Source organism: Homo sapiens, chromosome 9, assembly GCF_000001405.40.
Source record: "Homo sapiens chromosome 9, GRCh38.p14 Primary Assembly".
NCBI lineage: Eukaryota > Metazoa > Chordata > Mammalia > Primates > Hominidae > Homo > Homo sapiens.
The window spans coordinates 37484792-37504256 of record NC_000009.12 but is presented as its reverse complement, the minus strand read 5'-3'; the positions used below and the strand labels follow the sequence as shown (position 1 = coordinate 37504256).

The window sequence follows — 19465 nt, the reverse complement described above, 5'->3', positions numbered from 1 at the left end:
GTCCTGACGGCAACCTTCCGATTCCCAGTCCTCTGGCCCTTGTCACAATTCTACAGCACCTTATCCATACATTAAAATCCATTCTTCTTAAGATACCTAGAGCAATTGATTTTCTGAACTGAACACTGACTGATTCATCCTCTTCAAAGTGTGGCTTTCATAGCTGACCCCTGCCTTCTATGTGGCCTCCACCAGACAGAGAAATTGGGTCACCACTTCCTCTGACTTGGCTCCACCCCATTACAACAGGCTGTATCCTACTGGCCTGTGGCAGCCCCCATCACACTGGTGACCCAGTTAGCTTCTGATAAAGCCTGAAGTGTCATTTCCCAGGCGTGCTGGGCCAGATCCTCCTTCCTCACTGCGTACTCCACTGGCCCTTCCAGACCTAAGCACGCCACTTCACATTTCTCTTTGGAAACCTTCATCCATTAGATTTGACTCAGCCTGGTGAGTCAACTTTGGGAGGGAGGACCCACCCTCCCAAATCCCCACAGGTGAACCAACATGAGAAACATCTGCCATTTATAATCACAGCAATAATACCAAAGGAGAGAGATGAAGTCCAACCTGGCCATCGCTTTATATTTCTGCATAAGACAAGCACAGTTGAGATGCTGGCTTCTGGCTTCATACCTGTGCTAAAGCAAGGCTTCTTTTTTCCTTATGTTACTTTTTTGAGACAAGGTCTCACTCTGTGACCCAGGATGGAGTGTGGCCACACAATCATAGCTCACTGCAACCTTGATTTCCCAAGCTCAAGTAATCGTCCTGCCTCAGCCTCCCGAGTAGCTGGGATTACAGGCGCACACCACCAGGCCTGACTCTTTTTTTTTTCCTCCGGTAGAGATGGGGTCTCCCTATGTTGTCCAGACTGGTTTCAAACTCCTGAGCTCAATGATCTTCCTGCCTCGGCCTCCCAAAGTGCTGGGATTTCAGGTGTGAGCCACCATCCCCGGACCTTTTCTTTTCAAAACATACATAAAAATGGAAATGAATAGGACCAGCCAGTGGCTGTGATGCAGCCAAAACGCCCTGTCTGGAAAGCATGCGTCTAGGTAATCTTCCTCCGCTTTGCCAGGCGGTCTGAGGTCTGGGCTGGAGGCAGCGGGAGGGACAGGGTGCCCAGCTTGTGATCTTCTTCACTGCCGGCGGCCACAGACACCCTTCTTTTGGAGATCTTCAGCCTCATGGCTTTGGCTATCTCCATCATCCTAAGGAAGACATAAACAGAAGAACTGGAGAGACCCCTCAACATGACTGTTCAGGGAGGTTTGGCAAAAGGTAGCAGCACATTCATGCTCCAGGCCATAAAGACAGAATCCCAAAGGTTGCCAGCAGGCACAAAGCCCCTGGCAGAGAGGCAGGCAAGGTCCCCTCACCCGCTGGGAACCATCAGACAGCCAATTTCATTTTAATGCCCTTCAAAAGATCCATATGGGTGATGAAAAACCAGGGTATCTACAGCCCCGTGAGCAACTTTCTTTACCTCCCATAACCAAACTTTTAGCAACCAGGATTGAGCACTTGCTAGAATCTGACAGGTTCCAAGTACCTGTTCTCTTTTTTTCAGCCTCACTGCCTGTGGGAACACAGTTTGTGGACAGCCCTCAGAACAGTCCCTCCACGGACTGCTAGAGAGTCCAGACAGAGGTGTGTTCACAGGCTCTCCTAGACACCCTCTGGGCCACTGGATGTCAGATGCCCCTAAATCACTGACAAAGATCAGCTGACCTCACAGTTCAGGTTCCTGGGCAGCTCTGCCCCTACTGTCTGAATCTCCTCTACAAGGCTAGATGGAGCCTAAAAGGTCACCTCCACCACCAGCTCTCCCAGTTGGGTCAGAGAAGTGCAAACATAAAATCCCTGCCAAACAGCAGTTCCACCTGGCCTTGGAACCAGCGGTTCCCCTGGCAAACCCTTCCATCTGATTGTGAGGAAGCTCTTCTTACTAAGCTCAAATTGGGTTGTCCTACAACTTCCACCCTGAGCTGCACTCCTCAGAACCATACAGAATCCCTCTCCCCTGTGACAGCAATTCAGAGAATGGAGGCTGCCTGGTTATTCAGAACAGAATGTTATGGAAAGGCTCAGGTCTCAAGGCCAACTACTCCCCTCTTGGTTGTGTAACCTTGAGAATGTTACGTACTTTTCTGAGCCTGATTCTTCAATTGTTTTCTAGGGAAATCAGTGAGATAATGACATAATTTATCTAGCACAGAGAAGGCACTCAGTAATGTCTAGTTGCTCATTCAGTCAATGATTCATTCATTGAAAATAGTCCTTTAGTTCCAAGTTGTTCCCACATTTAAACATCCTCAGTTCCCTTGGTGGTGCCTCATGCTTTCCAGTGGTACCAGAAATAAGACATCGAGACACCCTGCAGGGAGCTCTTTATTCTGTTGTGCTCACCTTTTCTCACTGAGCTTCAAGTCCCTCTGTAACACTGTCAGGTCAATTTGGAAGTCATGTATGTGCAAGGCAAGTATGATCACATATGCAGTAATCTTCGCCTTCATAGAATCCGAAATTAAGTTCCGTAATCTAGAAAATCAGTGGCAATAAAGGAGAAACAAAATTAAACTCTCAGACAATTTCTCCAAAAGCAAAATAAGAACATCCAATCCTATTCTCATATGCACGGAATGTCTTCCCAACTTCAGGAAAGGAAAAGGAATGTGGGTGACTTTGCCCTTCCAAGGTTCCTGGGCCTCACACACAGTGGAGCAGTGTGCCAGTCCATGTTTCCCTCTGAGGCAGATAGAGAAAGCTGGGCCTACACTCTACCTGGGCACTGCTAGCGCTTTGAGCTGGTGAGGGCCCTGTGAGTCTGTCCCCGCCTGCCCAGCAGGGCTGCTGGGAAAACAATCATCCCGAAATCAGCTGTGCTGATTCTTCCAAGCACACTCAAGAGCAGAAAACACACGCCATGCAAATGGCAGGAAGGAAGCCCAGGGGCAGGGCCTGCGGGTCTTTCCCCAGAGTCACCGAGTTGGGCTGCCCTTTTCTGCAATGCTGCCTTTCCGCAGAACACCAGCTCTGTGAGACATCGGGAAGGGCTATTCAAAAGTATGTGAAGTAAAACAAGTCTTTATTGTAGGACTTCCCAGAGCTTCTAAGGTTCCCAAAAGGTAATACTTTTCTAAGAAGGGCAGAGTATGTCATATTTAGCATTTGCTAAACTTACTGGGGCCCCAGGAGCCTTCCAAATGGCAGCAGTCTTTTCAGCACTGCATCTCCGTGGACATGGAATTGAGTCCAAGCCCCTGCTCCTCACTCCCAACCCCCACCTACTTTCTCCTGCACAAGAAAAATCCCAGCAACCACCCCCTGACCTGCCATTGTTGTAGGTCAAGCAAGTAAAGTGCTTCAGCAGTTTGGTGTTGATGATGTGGGGAACTCCAGGTCCCAGAGCACCTACAACACAAAGTTGAGTTTGATCATTTTCTCTCAAAACCCTCAGGCCACACCTCAACCATGAGCTAAGAGAAAAGGCCAACAGCTGGGCCACTGCAATGACCAGAACCAGGTGGTAAGAGAAGCAGGGCCCACACAAAGCAGAACAGCCACATCAAAATGAAAACATGCTTGGTGTGCTGCAGCCTGCAGTTTGCCCTGCACGAGAGATGCTGGTGATGGGGCAATGACAAGAAAACACAGCCTGAGGCCTAAGGACCCAGAGTTAACATGACCTTAGAAAACAAAAATTGTGCTGAAAGCTCAGGGAGAGAGGGGGAAAGGTGGAATTGGAATGTGAAAATAAGAACTAAGTGGCCAGGCGCGGTGGCTCACGCCTGTAATCCCAACACTTTGGGAGGCCGAGGCAGGCAGAACACCTGAGGTCAGGAGTTCAAGACCAGCCTGACCAACATGGTGAAACCCCATCTCTACTAAAAACACAAAAATTAGCCAGGTATGGTGGCGCAAACCTCTAATCCCAGCTACTTGGGAGGCTGAGGCAGGACAATTGCTTGAACCCAGGAGGCAGAGGTTGCAGTGGGCCAAGATTGCGCCACTGCACCCTAGCCTGGGCAATAGAGTGAGACTCCATCTCAAAAAAACAAAACAAAACAAAACAAAACAAAACAAAACAAAACAAAAAACAACTGGCTGGGCATAGTGGCTCACACTTGTAACCCCAGCACTTTAGGAGACCAAGGCAGGCAGATCATGAGGTGAGGAGTTCGAGACCAGCCTGACCAACATGGTGAAACCCCGTCTCTACTAAAAATACAAAAATTAGCCGGGTGTGGTGGCGGGCGCCTATAATCCCAGCTACTCAGGAGGCTGAGGCAGGAGAATCCCTTGAACCCAGTAGGTGGAGGTTGCAGGGAGCCGAGATCGAGCCACTGCACTCCAGCCTGGGCGACAGAGCGAGACTCTGTCTCAAAAAAAGAAAAAAAAAAAAGAACTAAGCAAATACAAGCTGGGTGCAGTAGCTCACGCCTGTAATCCCAGCCAGCATTGTGGGAGGCCAAGGAGGGTGGATCACCTGAGGTCAGGTGTTCGAGACCAGCCTGGCCAACATGGAAAAACCCCGTCTCTACTAAAAACACAAAAATTAGCTGGGCGTGGTGGTGCCCGCCTGTAATCCCAGCTACTCGGGAGGCTGAGGCAGAATTGCTTGAACCCAGGAGATGGAGGTTGTAGTGAGCCAAGATCATGGGACTGCACTCCAGTCTGGGTGACAGAGCGAGATACTGTCTCAAAAAAAACAAAACAAAAACAAAACAAAAAAACAACAAAAAAAGCATGACTAAGCAAATACAGTCATGTCCCACATTACAGTGTTTTGGTCAATGACAGGCCACATATGTGACAGTGGTCCCATAAGATTTTTTTCACACAGGGTCTTGCTGTCACCGAGGCAGTGGTGCAATCATAGCTCATTGTAACCTTGAACTCCTAGGCTCAAACACTCTTCCTGCTTCAGCCTCCCAAATAGCTGGGAATACAGGCGTGCACCACCCCAGCTAATGTTTTTATTTTTGTGTAGAGACAGTGTCTTGGTATGTTGCCCAGGCTGGTCTCAAACTCCTGCCCTGAAGTGATCCTCTCACCTTGGCCTCTCAAAGTGCTGAGATATAGGCATGACCCACCATGCCCAGCCAGTCCCGTAAGATTATAATATCATAGTTTTACTATTCCTTTTCTGTTTAGATATATTTAGATATACAAATACCATTGTGTTACAATTGCCTATAATATTCAGTATAGTAACATGCTGTATAGGTTTGCAGCCTAGGAACAGCAGCTTATAGCATATAGCCTAGGTGTGTAGTAGGCTATACCATCTAGGTTTATGTAAATATACTCTATGATGTTTGTACAATGACAAAATTGCCTAAGGATACATTTCTCAGAACATATCCCCATCATTAAGCGACACATGACTATACTGAAAAACAGGAGTATAGACTACTGGATGCCCAATCACAGTAACAACAACTAAATACACCTTGTGCCTAAAACCACAGACATCTTCTGGGTTTCCAACTCTGGGTAGGTATGAGGGTGTGACCCGCAAAGGATCCTAGCTACAGGTGACACTGGGTTACCATCAGATTGACTCTCTCCTGTTAGAAATAAGCTGACACAACACAAACCTGCCACAAGCCTTCAAGATACATCTGTGTAACTCATAAGCTCTCTCTATATATACACACACACACGCACACACGTGGCTGATGTTTGTTCTAACAGTCCCTTAAAGTTTTCCTTTTATTTGACCTGGATATTCTACTTTGCCTCATGCAGAATAGAAGTAGCAAATGTTAGCTCTGGAAGGACCCTGAACTATCATATAATCCAACGTGGCCCCAATTTTCAGATGAGAAAATGGGAGATCCAGAGAGAAAAAGGGGCCTGGCAAGTCCCCTCGACATGTCAGCAGTACCAGAATGAATCTCACAGTTGACAGTAAAGACTTGGACAGACATATCCATTTTCTTCTCTCATCAGAACTCATCTAAGAATTACAGACAAATAATATACTGGAAACAATTAGAATAAAATGTTTATCATAGACTTACTTTTCCGCTTAACTACCCTATGAGCTCGAAATTTGATGAGGGTATCCAGAAACCATATGCATCGGGCCTGGCGGTCTCGGCTCTCCACATCTGATGGCAAAGACTTCAACGCTTCTATGACAAAGGTGCAATGGCTAAAACAAGGAAAAGAAAAGGAGGCCTGTGTCAGGGTAAGATGGGCTCTGTCAGGAACTACTTCCCTCTTACAACGAGAACAGCAGGCGCCTCTCACCCCGACGCACTCAACAGCTGATGAAACCCTGGGCAACAAGGCAAGACCCCATCTCTACAAAAACGTAGCCGGCATGGTGGCACATGTGTGTGGTCCCAGCTACTCGGAAGGCTGAGGCGGGAGGATCACTTGAGCCCAGGAGGTCGAGGCTCCAGTGAGCTGTCTGCGCCACTGTACTCCAGCCTAGGTGACAGAGCAAGACCCTGTCTCAGAAACAAAAAAAAACAAACGAACAAAAGCAGCTGATGAAGGGCCAGTACACTCAACACTCCTTATAATAGGAGAACATGGTTCAGTGCAGGGATGAATAAAGGGCTAGACAGTAAATATTTTAGGCTTTGGAGGCCATACAACCTCTGTTGCAACTACTTGACTCTGCCATCGTAGTGCGAAAGCAGGCACAGATATTACTTACGTAAATGAACAGGGCTGTGCTCCAATAAAACTTTATTTATACTTTACTTACTCACAGGCAGCAGGCCAGACTTGGCATGTGGGCTGTAGTTTGCTAACCTCTGACCTCTGTTTTTATAGTCAGGAGCATAGACTCTGTAGTCAGCCTGCCTGGGTTTCAATCCTTTCTCTGCCATTTAATGGTTTAGGCAAGTTTCTTTTTTTGTTTGTTTGTTTGTTTGTTTGAGACTGAGTCTCACTCTGTGGCCCAGGCTGGAGTGCAATGGCGCAATCTTGGCTCACCGCAACCTCCGCTTCCTGGGTTCAAGCGATTCTCCTGCCTCAGTCTCCTGAGTAGCTGGGATTACAGGCATGCACCACCACGCCCAGCTAACTTTGTATTTTTAGTAGAGATGAGGTTTCTCCATGTTGGTCACGCTGGTCTTGAACTCCCGACCTCAGGTGATCTGCCCGACTCAGTCTCCCAAAGTGCTGGGATTACAGGTGTGAGCCACCGTGCCCAGCGGGGCAAGTTTCTTGGTATCTGGTGCCCTGGTTTCTCCATCTATAAATTGGGGCCAATGATAGTACAGGTACTCTCCTCCTGAGCATTTTTTCTGGATTAAGAGATGATGCCAGTAAAGCTCTTAGAACAGTGCTTGGCAAAAATGTTAAGGCTCAGTCAATGCTAACTATTATTTTCAGGCACTGCTCTACTGCTAGCAAGACCCTGGACTCACAGAGATAAAAAGGCTCTTCAAGATCATCTCATAGATGCCTCATTTTACAGATAGAAAAACTGAGGCTTCAAGAAGGGAAGATAAGGGCAGAGTTCGGGGACTCAGTTTTCAGACTCCCCGCTCAGAGTTCGTTCCTGCACCTGCCCCTGAGTCACAATCACATTAAGACAACTATGAACTAGTAATGAGCTCTTTTTTGGAAATAAATCTTTGAAGCAAAAAAAAAAAAAAAAAAAGAAATAATAATAATAATTCCAAGGCACTGGATTTCAATGACCAGTAAAATTTTAAAACAAAAACTGGAGGAACAAACCTCAGATTGACAACTCTTTATCAAAATAAAATTATTAAAAGAAAAAACTCAAAAGCAAAAAAAACTCACTATCATAAAAGAAGCTGTTTTAATGGGAAAGGGGAGGGAGAAGGAAATAATCTCTGAATTATTTAAAATATACAATATTTTAAATACATAAATTTAATGTTAGAAAAGTTTGCCTACCATATCATCACAGAGAAACCATCACTTTGGCCAGCACCCATTCCCAGGCCAGCATTTGGGCCCTGCCAGTGACAATCAGCACCAGCATGACACTGGGTGACACAGGCCAGCTCTAGTTCCCAGCCCCAGAGTAGAAGGCCTCACCACCCTCTGCCCTGTCGCAGGTCCCACGGACTCAGAGACCAGCCCTCTCCCTCGAATGTGACCCACAGCTCCTGAAAGCCCAAACATTCAAGAAAACACTGGCTCATTCATGTCCAATGCTCCAGACACACTTCCTCACTGACTGACGCCCAGAGGACCTGCACAGTGTCTGACTACTGTTGGGTCCCAACAGCACTCCCCAGAATCCCCATCTGCTTAAGTCAGGGTACCTGTTCTCCTCAATCATCTTCAGTATTTCTTCTGACGTGACGTTCCTGAAAGCTTCAGATGGGCTCTGAAGAGCTTCATACTCCGCAGGGGAAAGAACTAGTTACAGGTCAAGAATATAATCCAACCAAAATAGAAACATCCAACTAGCTAGGTCATCTCATAGCAGTGGCATTTCACAGACAGGGAAACAGGCTCAGAGAGCCAAAGATCACACAGGGCAGATCACATAGGGGCAGAGCTTGGTGACTCAGTTCTCCGACTCCCAGCCCAGAGCCCATTCCCTGCCCAGGCTTTTCTGCTTTTTCTCATCACAAAGCCACTGCAGGCATTTTCCTTCTGACCGGACCCCTTGGGTGGTGAAATTCTAAGCTCCAACCCTTCCTTCAACAAAAGTGGTCTGCCCTAGACTTTGGGCATTTGGCTGGTTCAACTCTTATTTTGACTCTCCATGGAGAGTGAGCCCCACAGGTCTAAGCTGTGGGCATTTGGCATTTTGCTGAGGAATGGATTTGAATCCCAGGGGCCGGTCCCTCAGCTAGTGAGGAAGCCAAGTTAACCTCCTGGCAAGAGCACTGAGCAACTGCAAAGGTTTGGATGGAGCTCTTGTGAATGTCACAGAACACAGACACCCTCAGAGAACCTGACTGCACACACGTGCAAACATCTCAACTTGTGAAATAAGGCAGCTTTTCTACTGCAAGAAGGATACGATCTTCAAATTTATACACGTCTTCAGGCTTGGCTGCATCATCATAGCAGGGAGGAAGGTAGAGGGAGTCATCTTGCAAGTCATTGTGGATAGCATCGCTGACCAGAGCTTTTCAATAAAGAAACAATCCATGTATCACCCTGTTTGTTTCCAGTTCCCCAACATTCTTTTCAGTCTGTGCACTTCAGACCACCAATGGTCCAGAAACCCCAAGTCTAAATGCTTCTGCCAAAGTGACCTCGCCTCCCCATCAGGCTGACTGCTTCAGGACTGCCATGTTCACTCATGAACAAACACAAGCTAGGCACTGGAGAAGGTGGAGGTGACAAGATTCCCCTCAGGTAACTTACAATAGAGTTGGGATTGACAGCTGTGCTAATACATAAACATTTACAATATAAAATGAGAGAAACTAAAAGTGAGGGACGTCCAAAATAGCCTTTAATGGCTTAACTTCTAGAAAAACTTGCCACACATTGTAGGTGGAACAAAACTTTCAGAATATAACACTGTAACTGCCCCACAAGAATAACTCCGCAGCCAGGTGTGGTGGCTCACACCTGTAACCTCAACATTTTGGAAGGCCAAGGCGGGAGGATGGCTTGAGCCCAGAAGTTTGAGACCAGCCCAGGCAACATGGCAAGACCCTGTCTCTCCAAAAAACTAAAAAAATTAGCTGAGCATGGTGGCACACATCTGTGATCCCAGCCACTTGGGAGGCTGAAGTAGGAGGATCACTTGAGCCCAGGAGGTTATGGCTGCAGTGAGCCATGTCTGCACCACTGCACTCTAGTCTGGGTGATAGAGCAAGACCCCATCTCCAATCAATCAATAAATAAATTTGTGAAAGTGTTGAAATCTATATAATCATAGGGTATGGAAAGATTTTCCAAAAATTACTAGAATTTCATTCTTAATAGAAAAACTGCTCTGCCCAGGGCACAGTGGTGTGCGCCTATAATCCTAGCTACCTGGGAGGCTGAGGCGGGAGGACTGCTTGAAGCCAAGGGTTCAAGATCAGCCTGGGCAACATAGCAAGACCTCATCTCCAAAATCGGTAAAAAGAAAAGCTACTCTTACACAAACTTGCTCTTATGTTCTTATAATGTATTTGAACAATAAATACATTTTAAAATAATACAATTAAATACTCCAGCTGCTGAATACCGGAAACAGAGCCACTGATCCCAAAGTGAAATGCCACCTCTGGAGGCTCATTTCCATCAACACATCAGCCTTTTTGACCAAAGCTTCCCTGCAACGCACAAGGAGAGACCTGAGGCCTTCTCCCTCCTCTGTGCCCTGCAGGCCATAACCCCAGCACCATAAGCACGGCAGGCATGTATCCATTCCATGCCTGTCCCTGTACTTGACTGTGGATCACTAGAAGACAAAGCCATGTCGGATGTTTCTTACTACTTCCAGAACCTGTCCGTGAGAAGGCCTTCAGCAAGAGGCTGAAAGGAATCCAGCCCTAGCTCCCAGCATTCCATGTGTGGGTGGGTAAAAGATCTCAAGAGAAGAGAAAGCTGTCATTATGGGCAGACTCTTAGCCCAAGTTCCAACTTCTTACCAGTCACACCCTTCGTATCAATGATAGTCTCTGCAGCTTTAGCCACTGCACGATTCAAAGATTCATTGCCAACTCTGTTCATTCTCCTGGTGTTCAGAGCTCGCTTCTGTTTGGTGGTACCAAAGGCTTCAATACAAGAATCCATCTGTTTATGAGATAAACCTGGTTACTGGGGACAGGACAGGTAGGTGCTGCCCCTCCTAGCTGTGTCACTATGGGGATACTCTCAGCATCCCAGAGTGATCACTACCTCACCTGTGAATAAGGCTGAATCGCACCTATTTACCTCACAGGACTGCTGTAAGCACCAAATGATATTAACAGATTGATCAATCAACAGCATCTCCATCAGTAAGATATAAAGACTTGACTAGGATTAGGGCTGGCAAATCTGTAGCACATGGCTTACCATTCTCCCATCCTATGCCCGTAACAGACAGGAATAGTAGAATGGTAATTCTCCCATCTTACACCCGTAACAGACAGGGCTAATAGATCACTGACTCCTTCCCCCTGAAGCAAAAAGTAGCCTCACAACCCTTCTCAATACAGTGCTCCACACAGCACCAAAGATTCAATCAGTTTGTCATCTTGGGGTGAGATGACCTTTGTAGGGACCTTCTACATTGAAAATCCCCAAGTTTACTTTGTTTTAACGTGAATGTTTTCAGGCTACAACCAATATATTCTAAAACTTGGACTAAATCCTAAAAACAAGCATTATGCTACACTTGTATCAGCCCAGAGAACCGACTCCAAACATTGGCACAGAGCTGTGTTCAGCTGCCCCAGATGGGAGCCAGACTGTTCTCTGTGGGACCAAGGAGGCTTCTGCAGGTACAAACTAATTGTCCAGAGAAACAGACTGAATGAGCGGGGAGCAGCCAGGGAGACCCTTGAGTTCAACAAGCTCATTTCACTGATGGAGAAACCCGAGGTGTAGAAGGAACTTGCTTAAGGTCCCACATCTTAATTCTATCACACTCACCTTTTCTCTGTAAGTTTTGGTCTGACTCTCTAGCGCCAGTTCACTCTCAACTGATACATCTATCAAAACACACAAAAACAGAGAGAAAGAAAAGTCAATTGGGAGGCCTACAAATAGTAATAGTGTTTAATATTCATTTGTCTATCTAAGAATAATAGATTTCTTTACTATAGGACTTCCCTGAGCCTAACATGAGTGTATACTGTGAATATTTAATATGCAGCTTTAGTATACAGTTAAAGAACTTGGAAAATAAATTAGCCAAATCAAGCGGTCATCCAGCCCAACCTCTTCATTTTAGAAATTAAAAAACAGAAGGCCCACAGATGAAATTACTTGCCCCAGGTCAGTTCACCAGGTAGTGGCAGAGACAGGATTAGAAAACAAGTCCTTGGCTCTTTCCAGAAAATAATTTTGCTTTCTTGGTGAAAGACCTAAAAGCAGGCATAAACATGAGGTATGTGGTACTTACCGATGCTCTCCAATCATCTACAAAGTACTCAAATAAGGGCAGTATAACTTAGTACACAACAGTACAAGCTCTGGAGTGGCCTTGCCTGTTATCTCAGCCATCACCCCTGATAAGGTCATCTAACCTCTGTGCCAGTTTCATCACTGGTAAAAAAAGAACAACAGTACTTACTCCAGAAGGTTGGTATATGCATGGAAAGTGCTTAGAACAGTGACTAGCATATAGTAAGGACTTAAATGTTATCTCTGTGTGTGTGCTACCTAGAATAAACTCATATTTACAAACTTCTTACATATAACAACAAAAATATGTTTAATCAACACGTTAAATTACAATTTTCCTTGCCTCCCTGGATTTTACAAGAACAGTTGGAAGATGATTTAAATATAGTTATATATGTTTGCAAAGCAGGGGGACACCTAGGAAATTCACAGATGGGTGTCCGGACTCAAGAGACCTTTAAAATTACGTGTAAAATTTGGCTAGGCACGGTGGCTCACACCTGTAATACTAGCACTTTGAGAGACCAAGGTGGGTGAATCACTTGAGGCCACGAGTTTGAGACCAGCCTGGCCAACATGGTGAAACCCCATCTCTACTAAAAATACAAAAATTAGCCGAGTGTGGTAGCGCACACCTATAACCCCAGCTACTCAAGAGGCTGAGGCAGGAAAATCGCTAGAACCCGGGAGGCAGAGTCTTCTGTGAGCCCAGATTGCACCACTACACTCCAGCCTGGGTGACAAAGCGAGACTGGGTCTCAAAAAAAAAAAAAAATTATGTATAAAATCCCATATTAAAAAAAATCCCATATATATGTATTTGTGTATCATATATGTTTCTCAGAAGTAGGTCCAGGTCCTTAGCAGATTCTCAAAAGGGATGGAAGCACTGCTTTGAGAGAATAAAACTGGAACTAATGCCTCTGAGGTATCAGGCAGATTCACAATGCTCCCAATGTTTCTTTCTTGTCTATCGCCCTATCCTGCCATGGTTCCCAGTATTTAAGGGCATCACTAAGGATTCAAGTTCTGAGATTTAAGGAACAGAAGCCCCTTGAGTGTGACCCTTTTATTTATTATTTTGGAAGATCTCACTCTAGCCCTGAGCATTCTAAGATGACAAAGCAGAGAAACAATGTAAATTCTTCCACTGGATTAGGGAAAAAAAATAGATCTTCCTCAAATTAGTGTAGAGACTTGTCCTCAACGTGAAAGTTACTATACAACTTAATAAGCAATTTCCTTTGTCTACCAGAAATTCTAAAACCTCTTTACCCCAACTATAACAGTTAAGAATTAAGAAAGAACCCTTTCGGCCAGAACTGCCATCTTGCAGTAATTCATCAAAATGACAAACACAAAGGGAAAGAGGAGAGGCACCCAATATATGTTCTCTAGACCTTTTAGAAAACATGGAGTTGTTCCTTTGGCCACATATATGTGAATCTATAAGAAAGGTGATATCGTAGACATCAAGGGAATGGGTACTGTTCAAAAAGGAATGCCCCTCAAGTGTTACCATGGCTAAACTGGAAGCGTCTACAGTTTAGCATGCTGCTGGCATTGTTGTAAACAAACAAGGGCAAGATTCTTGCCAAGAGAATTAGTGTGCGTATTGAGCACATTAAGCACTCTAAGAGCCGAGAAAGCTTCATGAAACGGGTGAAGAAAGATGATTAGAAAAAGACAGAAGCAAAAGAGAAAGGTACCTGGGTTCAACTGAAGCGCCAGCCTGCTCCACCCAGAGAAGCACACTTGGTGAGAACCAATGGGAAGCAGCCTGAGCTGCTGGAACCTATTCCCTATGAATTCATGGCGTGACAGGTGTTTAAAAAATGAAAGACCTCTGGACTGTAAAAATGTTTCTCTTCATTGAGTAGAAGTGTGGTGTTCTCTCCCCCAAAGAAATATTTAAGGCAAATTTTAATTATGTCCTAGTTCATTATGTAATGTCTTTACTCTTCAAATTTAATGTATTTCTTGCTGAAAGACGTGAGGTAGCTTATTGTGCAACAAACTCCTCGATTGTTTAGAAAATGGCCAGGTATTACGTATGAAATATTTGTACTGGTTTGAAGATAGTCCCTTGAAATGATCAAGGAAGAAATAAAGTAATTTACAAAAATAAAAAATAAAAATAAAAAGAATGAAGGAAGTTCTTTTATGGAAAAGATTTTATATCAGACATGTCCTCTAATATTCTGCTCTGATCATTGCTCAGATTGCTTTTATGAACCTCTGACCTCAAGTCTCTAAACACTATGGGGACAGGATCTGTGTCTGTCTTGCTTACTGCCACATCCACAGCCCCAGCTTGGTGCCTGGTACATTAGGTTATCAATAAGTGTGTGCTGAATAAAAAACTCTAGGCCGGGCGCAGTGGCTAGCGCCTGTAATCCTAGCACTTTGGGAGGCCGAGGCAGGTGGATCACCTGAGGTCAAGAGTTTGAGACCAGCCTGGCCAACATGGTAAAACGCTGTCTCTATTAAAAATACAAAAATTAGCCGGGTGTGGTGATGTGCACCTGTAATCCCAGCTACTCGGGAGGCTGAGGTAGGAGAATCACTTGAACCCGGGAGGTGGAAGTTGCAGCGAGCCAATATCACACCACTGCACTCTAGCCTGGGTGACAGAGTGGGACTGCATCTCAAAAAAAACAAAAAACAAAAAACAGTGTGTATATAAAAAACCATTTTCTCAACACAGACAAAGCAGAAAAAACAGAATAAATAAATTAAAATAACTATAAAATGTGTTTTATAAATCTAAAACTCAAGCCAACTCATCCAGCAAACCCAAACTATGCATTATTTCTGTCAGCTTTCATGACTGGGACCTACCTGAAAATAGTGGCTGCATGTTGAACAATTCAGCATCATATACTTCCATTTGGCCAGAGGTCTTGTTCAAAATTCCCACAAAGTGCCTGAATAAAGAAGAAATAATACAAATAACAATGGATTATTCAAAAGCATTATTTGTACAGCTTTCTTTTTTTTTTTTTTGAGACAGAGTCTTGCTGTCACCCAGGCTGGAGTGGAGTGGCATGATCTCGGCTCACTGCAACCTCCACCTCCCGGGTTCAAGCAATTCTCCTGTCTCAGCCTGCTGAGTAGCTGGGATTACAGGCGCACGCCACCATCCCCGGCTAATTTTTGCATTTTTAATAAAGATGGGTTTCACCATGTTGTCCAGGCTGGTCTCGAACTCCTGACCTCAGGTGATCTGACCCTATCAGCCTCCCAAAGTGCTGGGATTACAGGCGTGAGCCACTGCACCTGGCCCTGTTTCCTGTTCAAAAGTTCTCAACCTTCTCTCTGCCCACACACCTGAGGAATGCATCATCTACTCATGGGTAACAATAATCTCCCCTACCCCTACCCCACAGCAATTCTCTGCATAGAGAGGGAATAGGAAAGGATAGGATGGGATGGGAGGATATGAGGTGGTTCTGGGAAAAAAAAAAAAGCTACTAGGTGATTCTGATAGTTGATCACATTTGGGCTCACTGCGGTAGTGTAATGGAAAACTCTTTTGGGGTGTACGAACCTAGAATTACACTACAATTTATGGCACAACAGTTTTATGGAGGCAAAATCAAGTAAACGGGGAGGAGACCAATTGGAACTAGGGCATCTCTGAGAGGGGAGAGTGCAGGGTTAATAGTTCTCAGCACCTATACACCCATCTGACCTCTCCTCTATTGGAGTATGGTCCACCGGGGCTCAGAAAGGGCCTAGTTTGTAGTTCATTGTTGGGTACCATCACAGGGCCCTGTCTGCATCATGCCAGCCCCCGAGAGTGATACAGTTCAGGCTGGACAATCTTCACTGTACAGAGGGGGAGGCTGGGGGTCAGTGATGCGCAGAGTTACCCAGCCACTCAGTCAATCAGCAGCACAGCTGGATGGGAATCCCAGGCTCCTCTTTCCCAGTCCAGAGCCTTCAACACTACCAAGTTCTTTACCTGTCGTTAGTTCCCAGGTAAACTTCACGCAAGCTTTGACCTACTAGTCACACATTCCAAATTAATGGAGAGACCTGCCTTTTGGAATAAGACAGCTATAAATAAACAAGATTACAAATGAATGAGGTTTTTAGGAAATTCAAGTTATCTTTCCTTTCCAGCAACGTCTACACGTGCAGGGAAGGGCTCTGGGTCTAATAGGAACACAGGGATCACCTAGTAAACCTCTCTAGATGGCTCCTGCTACCCTTAAAACAGACAGGAAACAGCAGTGCCAGTGCTGCCACCACTCCCAACCCCATCACCCTTCCCACTGTCCCTTCCCCTGCCATTACCTGCACAAAGTGTTGCATTTGAGGGCTCCAGTCCCAAAATTGTTTCCCACATAGGAGAGCCTATCTGTTTCAGCTGCCTAAAATGCAGAGAGGGGAAACTCCATTTACAACCAATGTTGAAAGGTATTAAGCATCATTTCTCTTTTCTACATTTGCTGAGGCTTTTGAATCCAGACTCACAATGGATTAGAACTAGTTCATCTCTGGCAGATGATCCAGCCCCACTATCTCTAAGGGAATATGGGGTGTCCCTGCAGGGGAAGCAAGACGACTTCTGGAAGAGAAGCCTCAGATGGTGCTAGCTTCTAAATGGTATGAAAAGCTCTTGGGGGAATTCTGCCACAAGACTTGAGAGAGAGGCCCTGGGCTTCTGGCACTTAAAGGTATGCAACAAAGTGATTCTGTAAGCAATCTCTCTTTGGCCTGTTCTTTGTATACTCTCAGGACCATGGCTGATTCACTCCCCAATCATAAGCAAGCTTTCCTGCTTCTCTGCATTTGTCCTCACTATCCTTTTCACTCGAAACACCAAACGTTGACTGCCAAACCCTCATTCCAGCCTTCAAGGCTCAGCTCCAACATGACCTCACCAAGGAAGGCATTCTGGCAGAGACCTCTCCTCCCACTGAGCTCACTCTGCCCTGTACTCTTCCCCACGTGGCCTCAGAGCTTTGTGTAAAAGTGTCCCTCACAGCCAGTTCTCATCTCTCTAGAGCAGAGGTTCTCAATCCAGGGAAATCCACTCTGGTGCTACTGGCATCTAATGAGTAGAGACTAGGGATGCTGCCCCCACAGCAAAGAATTATTGGCCCAAAAAGTCAATAGTCCTGAGGTTGAGAAACCCTGCTCTAGAGTATGAACTCTGAGTGGGGCTAGGCCTGATTTGGCTGTTTTCCTAGAAGCTTGCAGCACAGGGATGCAGAGGGGCAGGTTCCATAAATGCTTGTTGAAAGAACAAATGAATGAAAGATGGAGCCTGTCCCCACATCCCAGGCTGCTGGGCATCAGAGTTCTTCAAAGCTCCATTTGCTACTACTCCCCTTTTTCTCCCCTCACTCCCTCCCACATCCACCCACTCCCAGGGGCCTTCTGAGCCCTGCAGAGTGGAGACAGCTGGCAACTGCTTCACTTACCAGGATCCGTTGATTCCTCTTCCTGGGGTTGGTGGAATCTTTGTTCTCATACAAGGTAAAGCGCATGTTGCCTGGACTCTGTAGCTTCCCGTTGGAGAACTGGACTGTAAGAGTGCAGCCCAAGAATGAGATGAGAGCAGAAGGCCACACAATGTACCACACAATGTACGGTGGGACTAGACTGTCACTGGGAGGGAGTGTCAGAATGGGGATGGCAAGGAAGCTCGGGTCCTGACCCAAAGGGAACTGGAGGAGATCCGGGGCCAGCTGAGAAGAGGAGGTAGGGAGGTGGGAGAACCCTGGGGAGGGGCTGTGACAGGAGGGAATGTCTCGCGGAAGGAGGCTGACAGCAGAGGCCTGGTACATACCTAAAGTGACAGAAGGAACCCCTGCCCAGTGAAGAGAGGGAAATGGGGGAGGCGGGAGACCTGGTGGGTGAGGGGGTCAGCAGGGTCCTGGACACAGCTCTGGGGAGCGGGTGAGTGGGATGTCCCAATCTGGCTGGGAGGTAGTGACAGAAAGACGGACAGGGGAGCCCTGACAGAGCCCAGGGGAGTGGTGGAGACTAGAGGGGTCCCGGCCCCGCTGGGGAGAAGCCCAACGGAGGGCGAGAGGACAGCTGAGGTACCGAGACGGAAGGGGAGAGGGTTAGAGGAGCACTGCTCCAGCTCCGCAGTCTTTACCCAGTACAGCTCTCTGGCTCCCGTCGGGCGCCCCACAATACTGCCACCTCGCACTCGGCAACACCTCCGCCGCCATCTCGCCTGTCTGTCCGCCAAGCACAGGAGTTAAGACAGCAGCAGCCACAAGCGCACTTTTAAACACGCGGGAGCCCAGGCCGCGCTGCGGGCCGGAAAAGGCGTGGCCCCGCCGGGCACCGCCCACAGCGCGCGAGCCGCGTGTCCCCGCCCCCCGCGTAGAGAGGCGTGGTCTCCGCCCACAAGGTGCCACACACCCGCTTGACTGGCCGAGGCGCAGCACCTGATTGGCTCAGCGCTCGCGTGCACTCTGGGTTTTGTAGGTCCAGAGCCCGAGGCGCCAAAGGCTTCAGCCTAAGCTTGCTATGAGCCTTCTTCCGGCTCAGCACCTTCTAAAGAGAGTGTCGTCTCTCTCTCCTACCGTGACAAACTCATCTTCCCAAGACCTGAAGGACCAAGTTCAAATTTAGAATTCTCTGACAGGAACTGCTTGAGCCCCAACTAAATGTGGCCGCTGGCGAATAGCCGCCCCTCTCTAGGGCTTCCCACCCACCCACGTGGACATCCAGCTCTAGGTACAAACTTTGTCCACAGTCCGACAAACAGCTCCCCGCCATGGGCTGTGGCGTGCACACCTGTGGCCCAATCAACACTGAGGTGATGGAACAGAAGCCCAGCCAACCCCGGAGCCTTTGGGCAGGAGATTCTGGACTGGAATAGAAGAGGGAGTCCGAGCTGATGGACATGTCCCTTTTTCACTGCGGATTCAACCCTTCTTCTGCACGGGGAGTTTTCAGAGCAGAAAGAAGGCGAAAGCAGGGCCTTTAAGCATGGACGCTGGCCGAGGCCCCCTTTGCCCAAAGATGCGTACTATTGAAGGGCAAGAACTCCGGTTGACTCCCCTCTGTCTTCCAAATCACCTTCTTTCAAGACTCTTTTCCTTCCACACACCCTCAACACCCGCCTCCAACACCCAGGATCCTAGGAATAACCCTAAAGCCTGCATGCCCCTTTGCCTGAGCACTTGTCACGCTTTTCTAATTACCCAATCTCAAACGTAAAGAAACACTGCAAGAAATGTTTTTGCCCTGAACCATTTAGAGTAAGTTGTCAACCTGATACCCTTTCAACCCTGAAGACTATAGTATTTCCTACAGACATTCCCTAAATAACAACACAGCCATCAGAATCAGCAAATTGCCGGGCGCAGTGGTTCACGCCTGCAATCCCAGCACTTTGGGAGGGAGAGGCAGTTCTATCCCTTGATTCCAGGAGTTTGAGACCAGGCTGGGCAACATAACAAGACCCTGTCTCTAC

General features: G+C 46.8%; 1 protein-coding gene and 1 pseudogene across 3 annotated transcripts, besides 3 other annotated features; one reads left to right on the top strand and one right to left on the bottom strand.

The window, feature by feature from the left end:
• Positions 1 to 559: 559 nt before the first annotated feature.
• POLR1E (RNA polymerase I subunit E) lies at positions 560 to 18309 on the bottom strand. Of its 3 annotated transcripts, NM_001282766.2 has the most exons (13): positions 18134 to 18309; positions 17451 to 17554; positions 16318 to 16394; positions 14857 to 14942; positions 11882 to 11975; positions 11542 to 11600; positions 10554 to 10698; positions 8981 to 9088; positions 8271 to 8367; positions 6033 to 6166; positions 3336 to 3417; positions 2413 to 2544; positions 560 to 1214 (listed from the first exon to the last, which is right to left on the bottom strand). In NM_001282766.2, the coding sequence occupies exons 4-13, from the start codon at positions 14893 to 14895 to the stop codon at positions 1055 to 1057; spliced, it is 1050 nt and encodes a 349-aa protein (NP_001269695.1). In that variant the 5' UTR covers positions 14896 to 14942; positions 16318 to 16394; positions 17451 to 17554; positions 18134 to 18309; the 3' UTR covers positions 560 to 1054. The 3 variants fall into 3 exon arrangements, with proteins under 3 accessions (NP_001269695.1, NP_071935.1, XP_047279685.1); NM_022490.4 differs by lacking the exon at positions 11882 to 11975; XM_047423729.1 differs by lacking the exons at positions 11882 to 11975; positions 18134 to 18309 and having other exon boundaries at positions 17451 to 18024.
• On the top strand, positions 13324 to 13868 carry RPL21P83 (ribosomal protein L21 pseudogene 83; annotated as a pseudogene).
• Positions 18182 to 18511: a silencer, noted in NCBI's record as "silent region_19906". NCBI's record gives its function as "represses an Ori minimal core promoter by ATAC-STARR-seq in GM12878 lymphoblastoid cells {active_cell/tissue: GM12878}" and the evidence as "EXISTENCE:reporter gene assay evidence [ECO:0000049][PMID:35858748]".
• Positions 18182 to 18844: a biological region, named in NCBI's record as "H3K27ac-H3K4me1 hESC enhancer GRCh37_chr9:37485410-37486001".
• Positions 18253 to 18844: an enhancer, noted in NCBI's record as "H3K27ac-H3K4me1 hESC enhancer chr9:37485410-37486001 (GRCh37/hg19 assembly coordinates)". NCBI's record gives its function as "activates a minimal SCP1, AML or CMV promoter by ChIP-STARR-seq in primed H9 embryonic stem cells {active_cell/tissue: H9 hESC(primed)}" and the evidence as "EXISTENCE:reporter gene assay evidence [ECO:0000049][PMID:30033119]".

Bases quoted from the DNA above. Each gene is read 5' to 3' on its own strand.
- POLR1E (XM_047423729.1), bottom strand. From the start codon at position 17,816: ATGTACCAGGCCTCTGCTGTCAGCCTCCTTCCGCGAGACATTCCCTCC. The intron at 11,601-14,856 runs GTAGGTCCCAGT...GTGTTTTGATAG, and splicing joins CATGCAGCCACTATTTTCAG to ATGTATCAGTTGAGAGTGAA. The intron at 6,167-8,270 runs GTACCCTGACTT...TCCTTGTTTTAG, and splicing joins AAGATGATTGAGGAGAACAG to CCATTGCACCTTTGTCATAG.